A 16,161-nucleotide genomic window follows, 5' to 3' on the forward strand; every position below is an offset into this window, starting at 1 on the left:
AGATGCAAAACCCCAGAAGCATGCCAACGTATAAAACCCCAAGTCAAGGGCCAGATGGGGCACTTGGATCTCTCAGGTCACCCACTTGGCCCTCTTCCAAGTGTATTTTACTTCCTTTCACTCCTGCTCTAAAACTTGCCTCTGTTTCTCCCTCTGCCTTATGCCCCTCAGTTGAATTCTTTCCTTTGAGGAGGTCAGAATCGAGTTGCTGCAGACCCATGCAGATTCGGCATTACTAACAAGTCAACATTAGCATACAAAAAACATAGCACTTGGAAGATTCCAAGAATTTTAGGAGTTGTATGCCAGGAAATGGGGATGAAGACCAAATATCTATTGCATAATATCACAGTCACTCTCTCCATGAGTCAAGTAGTTCCCTGAGATAGTAAAGAGTGTTTCATCAACAATATTAGACCCTGTGGTCAAATAAGTTTTGAAAACAGGATTGGATGAAGACAAAAAACAAAGTCCATACCACAGGACTCTGGGGAACCTCCAAATGTTTAAAAATGAGCCCCTGGTTGCAGTTGCTTCCAGGAGTCCAGGAAGCAATTGCAGCTGGAGATTTGCCATTTCATACTTGTGAGCAGTTTATCTTGTAAGGGATGGGGACTTCAATTCACCTTTGGGCAAAATGTTTCTTTATTTTGGGAAAAAACACTGAAATGGGCCTCTTTGTGCCCATTCTCTGTTTTATACTTAAAAACAAAAACAGAGTTTGGTAATAGAAACTGTTTGGTAATAGAAAAGTTGTATTTGGTTAAATCACAGCTATTTATTCATCAATAAATATTTATGGAGCACTCCAGGTATTATTCTGGATCAGGGGTTGACAAAATTTATATGTAAAGAGCCAGAAGTAAATATTTTAAACTTTGTGGCTCATATGGTCTCAGTTGCAACTGCTTAAGTCTGTCATTATGGTGCAAAAGCAGCCATAGACAATACATAGGTGAATGGACATGGCTGTGTTTCAACATAACTTTATTTAAAAAAAACAGCAGCAGGTCAGATATGGCCATTTGCTGACTCCTGGCTTAGATGCCTGGGCTTCAGCAGTGGACTGAATGGACAAAAATCTCTGTTCTCATGGAACTTATATTCTAGAGGAGGGAGACAATAAGCATGATAAAGAGAATTTAAATGTTAAGTTAGAAGGTGACAGATACTATGGGGGAAAAAGAAACCATGGAAAAGGAATTGCAAGGCTGGGATCGGGGGTTGGGTGGGAAGAAAAAGTCTCTCTTAGAATGTGACATTTTGGCTGGGCATGGTGGCTCACACCTGTAATCCTAGCACTTTGGTAGGCCTAGGTGGGAGGATCATTTGAGTTCAGGAGTTCAAGACCAGCCTAGGAAACATAGCAAGACCCTGTCTCTATTTTTTTTTAATGTTCAAAAACTAAAAAAACAAAAAAGAGAAGGTGACATTTTAGCAAACTTGAAGGAGATGAGTATGGCAATTTTAAAACATGTTCATAAGCATGTCTTTGACATTACTCTCACCCAGAGGTAGTGGTGGTGGGTGGGAGGATTCTATGTCTTCTCCCCTTGAATCTTGGCTGACCTTTGTGAATTGCTTGTAACCTAAAGAACGCAGCAAGTGATGCTATGGAACTTCTGAGGCTAGGTGGGAATAGACAGTGCAGTCTCCATCTGGTTGCCTTGGGATTGTTCTCTGTGGGAGCCAGATGCTATGTAAGAAATCTGATTCACTGAGAACTCCCTGCTGGAGAGTCCACATCTATAGCCCAGTGGAGCTTCTAGCTGACACCAGTGTCACCTGCCAGCCGTGTGATTGCACCATCTTGGACGTCCTACCCAGTCAAGCCATGAAATGATGGCAGCTTCAGCCGACATCTGACTGCAACCGTGTAAGTGATCCTAGGTGGGAACTGCCCTGCTGAGCCCTTCCTGTATTCCTGACCCACAAAATCCGTGAGCAATAAACAAATAAAATGATAGCTTTAAGCTGCTAAGTTTCAGGATAATTTGTTAGGCAGAAATGGTATCTGAAATAGAAATCTGCTAAAAGTGGACTGGGAAAAGTGAACTGTGTCAGATTGTATTTTCCAAAGACGGTCACAACACGATTTCCCATCCCTTGTGTTTTTCCACAATGTGACCTTGCCACTCTCCCATCAAGAGGCGGAGTCTAATTCCCCTCAACTTGATCCTGAGTCGCTGGCGACTGCTTCCACCAATACAGAATGCAGAAGCAACACTGTGTTTTCCAAGGCTGAGTCACGAAAAATGATGTAGTTGGAGTTTTGAACTTTCACGTAAGAAGTCTGACTACCCGCCGGGCGTGGTGGCTCACACATGTAATCCCGGCACTTTGGGAGGCTGAGGGGGGCGGATCACAAGGTCAAGAGATCGAGACCATCCTGGCTAACACGGTGAAACCCTGTCTCTACTAAAAATACAAAAAAAAAAAAAAAATTAGCCGGGTGTGATGGCAAGCGCCTGTAGTCCCAGCTACGCAGGAGTCTGAGGGAGGAGAATGGCGAATGGCGTGAACCCGGGAGGCGGAGCTTGCAGTGAGCTGAGATCATGCCACTGCACTCCAGCCTGGGTGACAGAGTGAGACTCCGTCTAAAAAAAAAAAGAAATCTGACTACCCTGAGACAGTCATGCCATGAGGAAGGCCACATGGTGAGATGGATATGGAGTGAGCCTTGGGGATAACTGGAGAAATAATTTTAGGCAAAAAGAACAACCAGCACAAAGGCTCTGAGTCAAGACCTGGGCCTCGTGTGTTTGAGGAGCCACAAGGAGGCCAGTGTGGCCGGAGGAGAATAGACTGTAGGGGCAAGGGAAGAAGCAGGGAGCCACTTATGAGAGTGCAGGTGAGTCAGTGCGGTTGGTCACAGAAGAGATAGGGGTGAGAAGTGGTTGGATTAAAAGGTAGAGCTGAGAAGATTCAGTCATGAACTGGTCATAAACACTGAGAGAAAGAAAGGAACCAAAGATGATTCCTAGCTTTTTGGCCAATGGAAGAATTGAATTAGCAAAAGCAGAAATGGTGAAGACTGTAGAAGCAGATGTAGGGTTGTATGTAGGGGGCAGGTCAAGAGCTGGGTTTTAGACATAGATTTCAGATGCTGATTAGACATCCAAGTGGAGGTGTCCGGCAGGCAGAAGCTATCACCAGAAAAGGGGTCTTGTCCCAGACCCCAAGAGTGGGCTCTTGGATCTTGCACAGGAAAGAATTCAGGGCGAGTCACAGAATATATTGAAGTTAAGTTTATTAGAGGCTACTCAATTACAAAGTAGGGCGTCCTCAGAAAGCAAGAGGAGGAATGCACTACCTTAAACGTAGTGCTGGCTTATCTAAGTTATTAAGAATAGTGTACTCTATCACAAAGGCCTGTGATCAGCTTGTAACAGTCTATTAGTATTGTTACTTTCCTGTTACTATTATCTTTAAAGCAAAACCTGTTCTTAAACTAAAAATCCTTTTTCTTCTTAAAGTACTGGGACGTTTCCATAAGTTCTGGGTCTTTATTTAGTTAGTTAACACTATTAACTCATTCCCTCAACCATAAACATCTTGTGACCAAGAGTGCCCAGCTCCCTGGGAATGTAACTCAGCAGGTTTGGCTTTATCCCAGCTTTATTAAAGATGGAATCACTCTGGTTAGGACACCTCTGACCAAGATGCATGAGCCCACATGCAGGGGAGAGGTTTGAGCTGTGGCAGATATAAATGTGGGTGTCATCAACATACGATTGGTTTAAAGCAATGACTTTCAGTTTGATCTCAGATCCCTTTAAAAAATTGTTTTTATTGGCTGGGTGCGGTGGCTCACACCTATAATCCCAGCACTTTGGGAGGCCAAGGCGGGCAGATCATGAGGTCAGGAGATTGAGACCATCCTGGCTAACATGGTGAAACCCCGTCTATACTAAAAATGCAAAACAAATTAGCTGGGAATGGTGGCGGGCGCCTGTAGTCCCAGCTACTCGGGAGGCTGAGGCAGGAGAATGGCGTGAACCCGGGAGGCGGACTTGCAGTGAGCCGAGATCGCACCACTGCACTCCAGCCTGGGTGACAGAGTGAGATTCCGTCTCAAAAAAAAAAAAAAATTGTTTTTATTATAGTAAAAACATGTAACATTGAATTTATTATCTAACAAAATAAATTTATTATCGTAATCATTTTAAGTGTACAGTTCAGTAATGTTGAGTATATTCACATTATTGTGCAACAGATCTCTAGAACTTTTTCATCTCACAACACTGAAACTCAATACTCATTAGACACTAGCTCCTCCACCCCCAAGTCCTTGGTAACCACCTTACTACTTTCTGTTTCTATGCTTTTGACTACTTTATCATGAAGGAAATGAAAATAATTTGAAATCATCTTTGCAAAAATTATTACAGTGAGAAAATTAGACAGTGAAAGAGATCTAACCTAACTGACTCCATCTTGCTTCTAATCTTCAAGCTGCCCTTGTTCATTCCTGGGCATGGGTCAAGCTAACTTTGGAAAGAATTTAGTTTACAGTTTAACTTTGAAACAAAGATATTAAGAGCTCCTCCCCAGAACAAACCCCCTCCTTGCCTGGGGATCAGACTGCCTTTGTAAAACTCACAAATTAGCCACAAGATTAGAAATTATAACTCACTTTGGGAGGCCAAGGTGGGTGGATCACTTGAGGTCAGGAGTTTGAGATCAGCCTGGCCAACATGGTGAAACCCCATCTCTATTAAAAATACAAAAATTAGCTGGATGTGGTGGCGGGCGCCTGTAATCCTAGCTACTTGGGAGGCTGAGTCACGAGAATCACTTGAACCTGGGAGGCGGAGGTTGCAGTGAGCTGAGATTGCACCACTGCACTTCAGCCTGGGTGACAGAGTGAGATTTTCTCTCAAAAAAAGAGGTCGGGCTTGGGATAGAGTGGCAACGAGAAGGATGAGTCCCTCTTCCTTCATCCTTGTCCCAGTCCCTCCAAGCCACACTGATGGAAGGAGGCAATGGCCTGAGGGAGACAGCATAAGCTGGAGTTGCAGGAGGAAACTGGAGAAAACTCATTGCAGTGTCCTGGCAGAGGGACAGTGGAGAGGTGACTTCCTGAGAAGACTGGGTGGAAAAGCTCAGCAGCCATGGTCCTCAGCTCACATTGACAGCATCTCTGTGAGAGGCTGAGTCAAGCGGAGTAGCAGGTGGGGCTTGGCATCACCACTCTCTGGTCACCCCTCCTCATGAAGTAGCCTCAGGCAGCGCTGGGAGTCTCCACAATGGAGAAAAGGGAGATGATGGTATTTCTACAACTGAATCACCCCAGGAACCCCTGGTCATGAACCATGTTAAGGATTAGTGTTCCAGGAAACACGCTGGCACATGCAGATGAAAACCAGAGGAGACAGAAGGGACCAGTGTCAGTATGTTGGTTCACTGGCTCTCATTGGGGTCATCAGAATCACTTCTGATGAAGGTACTTAAATATATAGTTGCCTGGGCCCATCCAGGCTTAACAAAAAATACATGTCCTGGAGCCTTACCCTCTGCAGCATTCTGATTTAGTAGGTCTAGACAGGGTCAGGGCATCTGTAGTTTTAAGTACCTTTCCAGGTGATACTGTCATGTACTCCTGGTAAAAACCCTCTGATCTAATTCCTTGTATTGCAGATGAACAAACTAAGGTCTAGAAATGTCAATAGGGTTATGAAAGGAGGCACAGTGCTAGTTGAAAGCTTAGGTTTGAGTCCTGACTATGTGACTTTGGATAATTTGTTTAATCCCTCCATGCTTTACCATCCTCATCTAGAAGAAGGGGCAGTAACAGCAATTCCAAATAGTTTTGGGAGCATTAAATGAGCTAAGGCAATCCAAGCCCTCTACCATGGTGCCTGATATAAAGTTTCTGCTGAATAATTGCTGGCTACATTGTCATATCATCATCAGCAGCAGCACCGTCATCATTATCGCCATCACCACCACTGTCATCATTATTGTCACTATCACCACCACCCCCACCACCACCACTATCATCATCATTTTCATCATCGCTATTTCAGAAAGTGCCCCCCAGCCAGCTAGTGGCAGAGCTGGGACGATTTTGGTTTTCAGACTCCAAATTCAGTGACCTTTCCACTACTGAAGCCTCCAAATTCTCAACACAAACTTAAGTATTTCCTTGGCCAAGACAGTGTAACAAAGTCTTTTTTTTTCTGAGTGGAAAAATAAATTGCTCTTAATTTCTTTTTTCTTTCCTTTTTTTTGGTGGGGGGAGGGGGATGGAGTCTTGCTCTGTCACCCGGGCTGGAGTGCAGTGGTGTGACTTAGTTCACTGCAACCTCTGCTTCCCAGGTTCAAGTGATTCTCCTGCCTCAGCCTCCCGAGTAACTGGGATTACAGGTGCCCGCCACCACGCCCAGCTCATTTTTGTATTTTTAGTAGAGATGGGGTTTCACCATGTTGGCCTGGCTGGTCTTGAACTCTTGACCCGTGATCCACCTGCCTCAGCTTCCCAAAGTGCTGGGATTACAGGTGTGAGCCACCGCACCCGGCCCAAGTTCTTTTATTTTCAAACTGGCTCTTGACACTCAGAATAAAGGAAATCAACTCCATCTAAGACATGAGAAGAAATTGAAAAACCTCTTTGGAAAAACTCAGCTTTGCTACCAAGAAATAACCTTTAAGTAAATGGCTGGTAGGAAGGAAATTCTCAATAGTACTATTGTAGAAAATTGAGCCCGCCATTTTCCAAGTGCTTCACTGTCTCTTGAGTAGTTCTGTTGATGTGGGCAGGGAGCAGTACTGCTGATGGGAGCAATTTGGGGTGGGGTTTGATCGTATCACTTGTCAAAGGCTTATCCTAAAATGTTTTTGGTGTGCCCAGTGGTGTCACACCTCTGACCTCCTATCTTAGTGGCTTAGACTGTAAGCCACTGGCTTTCTCTACTGGCAGAGCAGTAGAAAACCTCAGTAACCTTTTTCACACTTGTGGTGGCCATTAGCTGATCCTGTGGCTGAACTCTCCCTGCTTGGGGGGATTCCTCACCACGAGTCTTGGTGGGAGGCAGAGCCCACTTCTGTAGGAGATAAGGAAGCCTGGGCGCTCTTTCCCAGCTCCCTTGAGGCCAGAGTGTGGGTGTGTGGCCTTGGCTCACTCTGTGAGCCTCGTGTACCTGTTTTTTGTAATGCAGGTGGGAGAAGTCTTTCTAGAGTCACTGTAACCTCTGGCTCCTGCGGTTGTTGTGCCAGAGACCACCTCCCTTTGTTCTAGCTGTTTCTCCTGCCTTCCCACCAGTTTTGTGAGCTACCCAGCAGCTTTTCTCTTTCTTTGAGTATAACCTCTTCTATATGTCATTTCTCTCCAATTTTAATGTATAATTACACACATTTTTCTTTTTTTAATTTTTTGCCGAATCATTTGTGATGTAGTTGCAGACATCATGACACTGTACCCTGCCGCATCTCTGATGCAATTACAATGAAATCACATGCAGTATCTTTTCCACACATTTTCTTCTGCCGTGGCAACTAGAGGCAATTTCTGTTGCTTATGGTTAAGAGTCCTGATGGGCATATCATTTGGGAAATTGGCAAGATGTGATGGAAAGAGTAGGTGTTTGGGTACAATACAGACCTGAGTTTGGCTTTAACTTAAGAAAGTCATTTATCTCTCCAAGCCCCCCTTTTCTCATCTGGGTAGTGACAATGCCTACCTTGTAAAATTGTGAGAATGTGGCATAATGTGTGCAAGGGATATAGCACAGTTTCTAGCACCCAGTAGTTGCTCAATAAATATTCATTGAGTGAATGATTGAATAAATAAAGACACTAGATCAGTGATTGTCAAACATGGCTGTACATTAGAACCACCAGGAGACTTTAAAAACATCCTGAGGCCAGGTTGCACCCTAGAACAATTGCATCAGAACCTTTGGGGTAGAAACTCAGACATTAGTGTTTTTTTTGTTTGCTTGTTTTTGTTTTTTGAGACAGAGTCTTGCTCTGTTGCCAGGCTGTAGTGCAGTGGCGCAATCTCAGCTCATTGCAACCTCCGCCTCAGCCTCCCGAGTAGCTGGGACTACAGGCGTGCACCACCACGCCCAATTAATTTTTGTATTTTTAGTAGAGACGGGGTTTCACCATGTTGACCAGGATGGTCTCGATCTCTTGACTTCATGATCTACCTGCCTCGGCCTCCCAAAGTGCTGGGATTACAGGCATGAGCCACTGCGCCCGGCCAACATTAGTATTTTTTAAGCTCCGCGTGTGATCTGACATGTAGCCTTGGATGTTGGAGTGTGACCTATTCTGGTCCCTTGTATCCTCCTTAGTCAAACTGGAGAAAACAGAAACCTCGTAAGGTAGCTGTGAGACGTGAAAATGTATGGACCTAATACATAGTAGGTCTCAGTAAACACTAGCTTCCAATCTCCTCTGCATGTCTTCAGTTAGGTGTAGCCTTCTGTGTAGGTGCAGGAGACACTGGAACATCATGGAAGGTTTGGAGGTGCACTGGGATTCCGCTCCCACACACTGAAATTTGTGTCCTGTATTAATTTGCTCCGGCTGCCATTAACCAAGTTCCATGACTGGGTGGCTCGAACGAGAGAAATATACTGTCTCACAGTTCTGGAGACTGGAAGTCTGAGATCTAGGTGTCAGGTTCATTCCTTCTGGGGCTGTAAGGGAGAATCTGCTCCATGCCTTTCTCCTTGCTTCTGGTCGCTTGCTGGCAGTCTTTGGTGTTTTTTGGCTTGTGGCAGCATAACTCTAGTCTTCACATGACATTCTCCTGTGTCTGTGCCCAAATTTACCCTTTTTGCAAGGACACCAGCCATATTGAATTATAAACTCACCTTACCTCAGCATAATCTCATTTTATATGATCTGCAATAATCCTATTTCCAAATAAGGTCATATTCAGGGAGACTGTGGGTTATTCAGGGAGACTGTGGGTTAGGAGTTGAACATATGAATCTGGGGGCAGAGGATGACACAATTCAACCTGTAACCTGCCCTAAGCTACAGATTTGTATCCCCTGAAGAACTTCATCAAAATGTAAGCCATGAAATTTTAGACCTATAGACTTTGTTTTTAAGCATAAGAATAGATCTGAGTGCAAACCTCTCTAGTTAAGATGAAGAAATAAGCTTCAAAGGAGGGGAAGTGACTTGCTAAAGACCCAGCCAGAAAAGTGGGCCTGATTTGTATTTTTTTCTCTAATTTTGAAGTAAACAGAAGATTCTTTGATAAATTAGCAGGGCCCAGTGGTTCTTCCTCCCCCACCCCCGCCCCCCAATTTAACCTTACTATTGGGAAACTGTATATTGGCATATCGTTGAACCAATTGCAACCAAAGTTGAGGGTGGGAGCAGGTAAAGGTGGGTACCTCCTACCCCACATTCCCACAGTTCATTGCAAAGTGCCTTGGAAGAGCTTTAATAATACATTTAAAGTGAGCATCCCCAGTTGTGTGGACAATAAGCCAGGTCATTTTCTTTCAGTCAAGAGAGGTCAGCAAGGTGGTCTGGGAAAAGGAACAGGAATTTCTTGGGCCTGGAGTAATCCTATGGGAACTTTTCTTCAAATGGGTATGACTAGAGGGTGGCCAACTTGAGAGTGGGGCCAATTCATCTTTGTGGTCTCACTCTCCACAACATGGGCTTTGCTCTGCTCTTGCATTGGGAAAATACTCCAAAAAAGTAGCCAGGGGTTGCCTGGAGGTTTGCATGCCATTGTCTCACACCCTTCTCTCCCTTCTCACTCCTGCAACCATCCAACTGTCCAGTTCTTCTTTCTAACCATGAATGATGCTCAACGCTGATTTTCTGACATGGTCAAAGTCAAGGAACCAGGCTTCCTTTGTTTTTCTTTGGTCCCTCTGGTCTCACTTCCTTTTGTGGAGGGGCCAGTGGACATGTCGGGGGACGGTTGCAGCAACCCCACATCTATGATCTGGGCTGGCCTTAAGGTAGAGAGCAAAGCTCTGTGCTCAGAATAAGTTGGTGAAGAGTTAGGATAATCCCTCTTACCCTTCCCAATCTTCCCTGAAACCCCCAAGTATCTCCCACCAAGTTTTCAGCATGCCTGAAATTTCCAGCCAATAATAGTATCATACCTTCTGATTGTAGGACTGTATTTCTGAACGGTCCCTGTTCAGACCCAAATATTTTATAATACAGAAAATAAAAGCCTTGGACTTGGAGACAGAAGACTTGGGTGTCAAGCCAGGGGAGAAATGGGGATAGGAAATTGAGTCACAGAGCATTCAAGATAGACTTGGTCTCCTGGACAATTTCACCTAAGGTCTAAATTGAGCCAGTTTCCCACCACCCTGACTCACACAGGCCTTTTTCCACACTTTGTTCTCCAATCCTGAATCCCTAACCCAGATCTTCCATAAGTAGAAGACTTTTAAGAACCTATATGCTCTTGGTAGAAATGAGGGGACATAATCAATGCTATGGGCTGAGTGTTTGCCACTCAGTTTATGGTATTTGTCATAGCAGCCCGAACTGACTAAGACAGCCAGCCAAAGGTAAGACAATACATGCTAATCTTTTACTTGTGCATATTAACACAGTGAAGCTTTCTTGTTTAATGAAATGATGCATAATAATTCATACTTATCTGGGACAGAATGATCAACAAAGCAAGTAGTTTTACATACATGACCTTATGCACAGCCTCATAGTGTGGATGAGTCTGTTATTGGCTTCTCTACAGTTTATAGGTGAGGAAACTGAGCCTTGAGAGGCCCAAGGTCACAGTGGGAAAGAGCTTGGATTTGGAGTTTAGGTCCAGGGCTCAAATGTCATTCGACTCCACAGACAGTTTACTTTGGACATCTTTAGACCAGGTTTCCATGTTTGCAGACCTTTTTGTCCCATCACAGGCATTTGCATAAATGAAACCTGTGAAAAGTTCAACAAAGCTTAATTCCAAACAAAAAAGATGATGTTTAGGCCGGTGGGCCCCAGACAAGTTCACAAGAAGCTCATGGGGTGAGTACCTGGTGTTGACCAGAAGATGAGATGTAGGCAAGTATAGTAAGAGAAAACAGAGGTAGAAAAAAGGCCAAAAGATGGTCTCCTGTTAACTCACTCAACCAACCACAAACATTGCCAGGCACTGAGGGAGATGGTAGGAACTGGGTTTGTGCCTTTGAGGGATTTCCACTCCAGTTGAGGCCATTGGAGTTCTGGGGCTGGCCTGAGCTTGGAGACATGCTCCGCTCAGAGATCAGCGAGGTTCTTCTCTTCTGGATTCTGTCTGAGGGAAACTGGAGGTGTAAATGCTGTAGAACCACCGTGGGTTTTTTTATGTTCCAGGAGTGGTTAGAGGTCTGCAGCTCTGTGTCCAGGACATCTCTGTTTGGAGGGAGAGATAGGCCTGCAAGAGTCCAGTTGAGATTGAGCAATGGTTTCTGTGGGTGGAGGGAGGGGAAGCCCAGGAGGTGGTGGCCAGTGGAGGTTGTGGTCAGGGACAGACAGCGTGGCTCATGGTGTGCAACTCTCTGGAAACTCCTTTTCAGCAGTGTCATCTGCCACTCCCTCTCTGACTGGGTTACCCTTCTATCTTCCTATTCATACTTCTCTTTGTGCCTCTTCCCTTGGGTTCTTGAGGAGCTAGATTAGGGGAAGACTCCTGATTAAAGACTGCCTTGGGAGCCAGTCTATTAGGGATGCCAAAACATCACTGGAAGTATAAAGAGTCAGATATGAAACGCTCCCAGGGAGATGGCTGGATGTGCTGAAAGAAATACAAGAGAAGCATCTTGGGATGGGTAGGAATGGGATGGCATGGGGAGAGGGTGAAGTGAGCTTCTCAAGGGGCCTCAACCCCCAAACCTGCCTTCTAAGAAGGGTGGGTTCAAAGCCCAAGGTGCTTTGGTTTTGCTAAGTGGGTATGTGAGTAGGAGTCCTTTGCCTTTTTGCTCCCTGGCTCAGCCTGCCCTCTGAGTAAAAGTTGAACAAAATGTTAAGAATCAGTGTGAAACTGTGTTTGAAAGATTAGGCCAACTAGAAGCCCATAGGCTTAGCTCTGATACCACAAACTACCTCATTATCTCTTCCTTATGCTGTTTCTCCCATCGGTGGTGAGTAGTGGCCCCACCTGTAGGCTGGCAGGTAGGTCCATGGGAGCCCCTTCCCTTCACTGGTATGCCGCCCAGCCCTGTCCAGCAGGTGCTACTGGCCTCATTATTAAAACTAGGCCCTGGCTCTTCCCTAGACCGATAAACTCCTCCAGATCTACTGCCCCATTGGCAAATAGATCATTGAAGTTGCATCTGGAACTGAAGGGGAAATGCCTTACAAGCTCTCTCTAGGTTGGCCAGAGGGCTACATTGGTATCTACTTTATTCAATAACAAGATATTGAGTGTCTTCTGTGTGCAAATCCCTGCTCAAGGGACTGTAGAAGACTCTGGACTCCTCATTTTTTAAAAAAGTTGCAGCCAAATGTACCTAATGAAGGTGCATGTCAGAATCGCATGGGAAGCTTTTCCAAATCCCCACGCCAGAGCCAAATCAGGTTCACAGATTGGGCCCAGGTCTTTGTGGCATGGCAAAGTTTAGAGAGTGGCTTTTATTTATGCCCTTGGGTGTGAAGCAATGGGCCAGTGTGAGAGGCAGGGATGCGTACCATGAACTAGAAGGCAAGGTGAAGCATAGCCATCGCCACAGAGAGAGATAAGCAATCTCTCTACTACTACACCCTACTCTCTTTCTACTACTCTCTGAGAGTGTAGACTAGGAAAGAAAGGTTAATATTTATAGAGAAGCAGCCTGGGACAAAGAAGGTAAAGTGTGCCCCAGGGCATGGCTCCCCAAGAAGCATAAATCTGAAGGATAATAACAGCTGTTGATTCTTTGCTCCCACTGAGCACACAGTGATAGAACACTGGGGTTCAAGACCAGGTTCCTGCCCTCAAGAAGCTTGCAGCCTGATGGGGCAGGGAGATAAGACATTGCATGTGTGTAACTACAACACAAGGTTGTTTTATTTTAGAGGGGACAAGCAGAATCCCACGACAACCCAGAGAATGTTCTAATTTGCAGATTAGGGAGGGCTTCCTGGAGAAGCTGGCCTGTCAGCTAGAACATGTTCCAGGCCCAGGTGACAGCATGACAAATGCCTAGAGGTAGGGTACTGGGGAGATATGTGTCTGAAAGAAGGCCAGTGGTGTTTTGGGGTTGGATCCCAAGCTGCTGTGGGGAGGAGGCTTAGAGTGGAATAAGAATGGAAAAGTTGGCTGGCATCGGATTGTGGAGGCCTTGAAAGCCTTGCTAAAGTGTATGGACTTCATTTGTAAGTAATGAGGAGCCACTAAGGGTTTTGAAGCACCTGGTGTAAGGGCAGAGAACAGCCTGGTGGGGAAAGAGAGGAGCAGTGGGGAGATGCCAAGGAAGTGAGGCCCTGTTTCAGGGATGAAACCATGGGCATGCAATGGCAAGAATGAGTCAACTCTGAAAGCCACTAGACAGGCATAGTCATTTGGACCTGGCTGTGGGAGTTGAGGAAAAGAAAACACAGGCCTCCAAGAGGACTTGAGGTTTGGAGTGTGGGTGGGTGGGGGGAGCTACCACCATCAACCAAATAGGAGGAGGACACTTTAGGTACAAAGTGATAAATGTGAAGTCAGCTCACTATCCACCTGGGAAGGATGAGATGTCGGAGGAGTCCACCCTAGATGCCTTCACCAAGGTGGGTGTTCACCAAGGTAGGTGAGCCTTTGGAGCTGGGCTGTTGGCCCCTGGAGGGTAGCAACTGTATCTCATTCATCTTTGTATTCTCTGAATAAATACTTAGTGCAGAAGGTAGCACTTATTAAATTCATTCCTTCAATCAAATATTTATGAGCTAAATTTTTAAGGGCCAGTTCGTGGGCTAGGACTTGAATCCAGGATACAGAACATTTCTCCAGTCTAGTTGTGGATTTTTAGAATCCAGATATCAACATGACTGCTTATCTCAGGGTATGGCGACTTTTGTCTTCCAGACAGCCTCATCCAGCAGTACCTGAGGAATACGGAGCCAGGCGCCTCCAAAGTGAATAAACCAGTAGGGACAACCTTACAGTCAGGGAAGGGAGGCATTGTCTTGTCAGCATCGTGCAGTTATCACAATGAGCTTTAGGCCCTGTAAAGTCTCCAAGGAAGCACCTTTCCCAGAATCCTTTCATGTCTTAGAACCTTCTGAACTAAACAGTGATTAGAAACACATGTCTAAATGAAGGAGCGTGCAAGATGAACTCAGAGTTCAAGAAATGTTTTTTTGGATGGCAGTATAAAATTCCCAGGTAGGAAGCCACTTTCCCGCAGATGAGAGGCTGGCGGGACCCACTGGTGTAATGAATGACCTTCACTGCACGCCTGCAGCGGAGGAGACGTCTCCACCCTGCTGTGTTCTGCAATGCTCCTTCCAGGCCCGCTTCTCCATGACCCCCATTCCAGTCCCTGTCCACCTGCACCTGCGCCTGCACCGCCACAGGCCCCTCAGTAGAAGGAGGCGCCCTCATAGGCGAAGGCACCAGGGGAGTGGGGGATCGAGGCTGGGCTGGGTGCCTGCAGCCGGCAGAACCAGAACTGCCGGAGAACATGTTTCAGGTGTGTGCGGAACTTGACCCCCACGAAGACATAGAGCACCGGGTTAAAGCAGCAGTGGGAGAAGGCGAGGTTGCGGCAGATGAGCAGGGCGTATTCTAGCTGCTGTTTGGCCTCGCAGCTCCGGATGATCTGGGTCCGAAACAGCGTCTGCAGAAACAGGGTGAAGTTGTAGGGACCCCAGCTGAGGAAGTAGGCCACCACGATGGCGAAGATGAGCTTGACCGTGCGGTGGCGCCGCTTGGAGCGTGAGCGGAACAGGGTCCTGAGGATCTCCACGTAGCAGAACAGGATAATCCCCAGGGACAGCAGGAAGAAGAGGTTGTGCTGGTAGACGGAGGTGAGGTACCACGTGAGTTCGGAATAATCACAGCCCGAAGAAAGCACCTTGTGGAAGATGGTGTCGAGGATGGAGGACAGGATGCTGGCTACCCACACAGCCATGGTCACCAGCACCCGGCAGCGGAGGGTGGGGACGCGCAGGGTGGAGAGGGGGCTCACTACCGACAGGTAGCGGTGGATGGTCATGATGGTCAGGAAGAAGATGCTGCTGTAGAGGCTGATGGAGAAGATCATATTGAGGAGTTTGCAGAGGAAGTCTCCCAGCACCCAGCCCCAGTGGTATGGGGAGATCCACACAGGCAACAAGCAGGCGAACACCAGGTCTGAGAGGCACAGGTTGAGGATGAAGATGTTGGTGAGGGACTCCAGGCTCTCATACTTCACCAGGACCCACAGGACCAGGCTGTTGCCCACTAGGCTGAGGAGAAACACCAGGCAGTATAGGACAGTGGTGGCGAGGGTAGCAAAGACCCAGGCCTGGTTCTCACACGGCTGGCTCTGAAGGTCATAGTAAAAAAAGGTGGTGCTCTCTGGGTTGCCTGAGGACTCCATCTGGACCAGATGGCAGGGACGTTTAGAGCATCTGAAATGATAGAGACATGGAGTTTAAAGCCATGTGGTGGCTGGGTACAGTGGCTAACACCTGTAATCCTAGCACTTTGGAAAGGCCAAAGGGAGAGGATTGCTTGACCCCAGGAGTTTGAGACCATCCCAGGCAATATAGTGACACCCCTGTCTCTACAAAAAATTTAAAAATTACCCGGGTGTGGTGGCGCATGCCTATAGTCCCAGCTACTCAGGAAACCGGGGGGTGGGGAAAGATTGCTTGAGCCCAGGAGGGCGAGACTGCAGAGAGCTGTGATCATGCCACTGCACTCCAACCTAGGTGACAGAGAAAAACCATGTTTCAAAAACAAACAAAAAACCCAAAAAAGATGCCAGACTCTTAGTTAATTCTCTCCTGGATCAGAGAAAAGACCTGGAATGGGAAGGGGATTCTCTACAGAGTGTATTTTCCCCACAAGAGATAGCTTTCCAAGACCATTTCAAAATATTCCTATCTGTCATGTTGGTATCTTATTGCTACAAAGAGTCTATTCTATCAGGCTTAAGGGCTGCTTTAATGTTAATACTGGTCAGCTGTGCTGAATTACAAAAGGAGGAGAGTATAATGAGGCATGTCTGACTACCTATTCCCATCATGGCCTGAACTAATATTTCTTTAGAATGCCCTTCCTTGGCT

At 46.2% G+C, this 16,161-nt stretch overlaps 1 protein-coding gene across 3 annotated transcripts in view; it reads right to left on the reverse strand.

Moving 5' to 3' along the window:
• Positions 1-10,529: 10,529 nt before the first annotated feature.
• The window catches only part of XCR1 (X-C motif chemokine receptor 1), a 68,838-nt gene continuing 63,206 nt past the window's right edge, over positions 10,530-16,161 (reverse strand). For 2 of the 3 annotated variants that reach the window (NM_001381860.1, NM_001024644.2), the window contains one exon: positions 10,530-15,501. In NM_001381860.1, the coding sequence (NP_001368789.1) occupies positions 14,469-15,470 (1,002 nt within the window). In that variant the 5' untranslated portion in view covers positions 15,471-15,501 and the 3' untranslated portion in view covers positions 10,530-14,468. Of the gene's footprint in view, positions 15,502-15,678; positions 15,801-16,161 lie in introns of all 3 variants that reach the window. The other variant, NM_005283.3, reaches the window with a different exon arrangement.

This window comes from Homo sapiens, chromosome 3, assembly GCF_000001405.40.
Source record: "Homo sapiens chromosome 3, GRCh38.p14 Primary Assembly".
NCBI classification, from domain to species: Eukaryota; Metazoa; Chordata; class Mammalia; order Primates; family Hominidae; genus Homo; species Homo sapiens.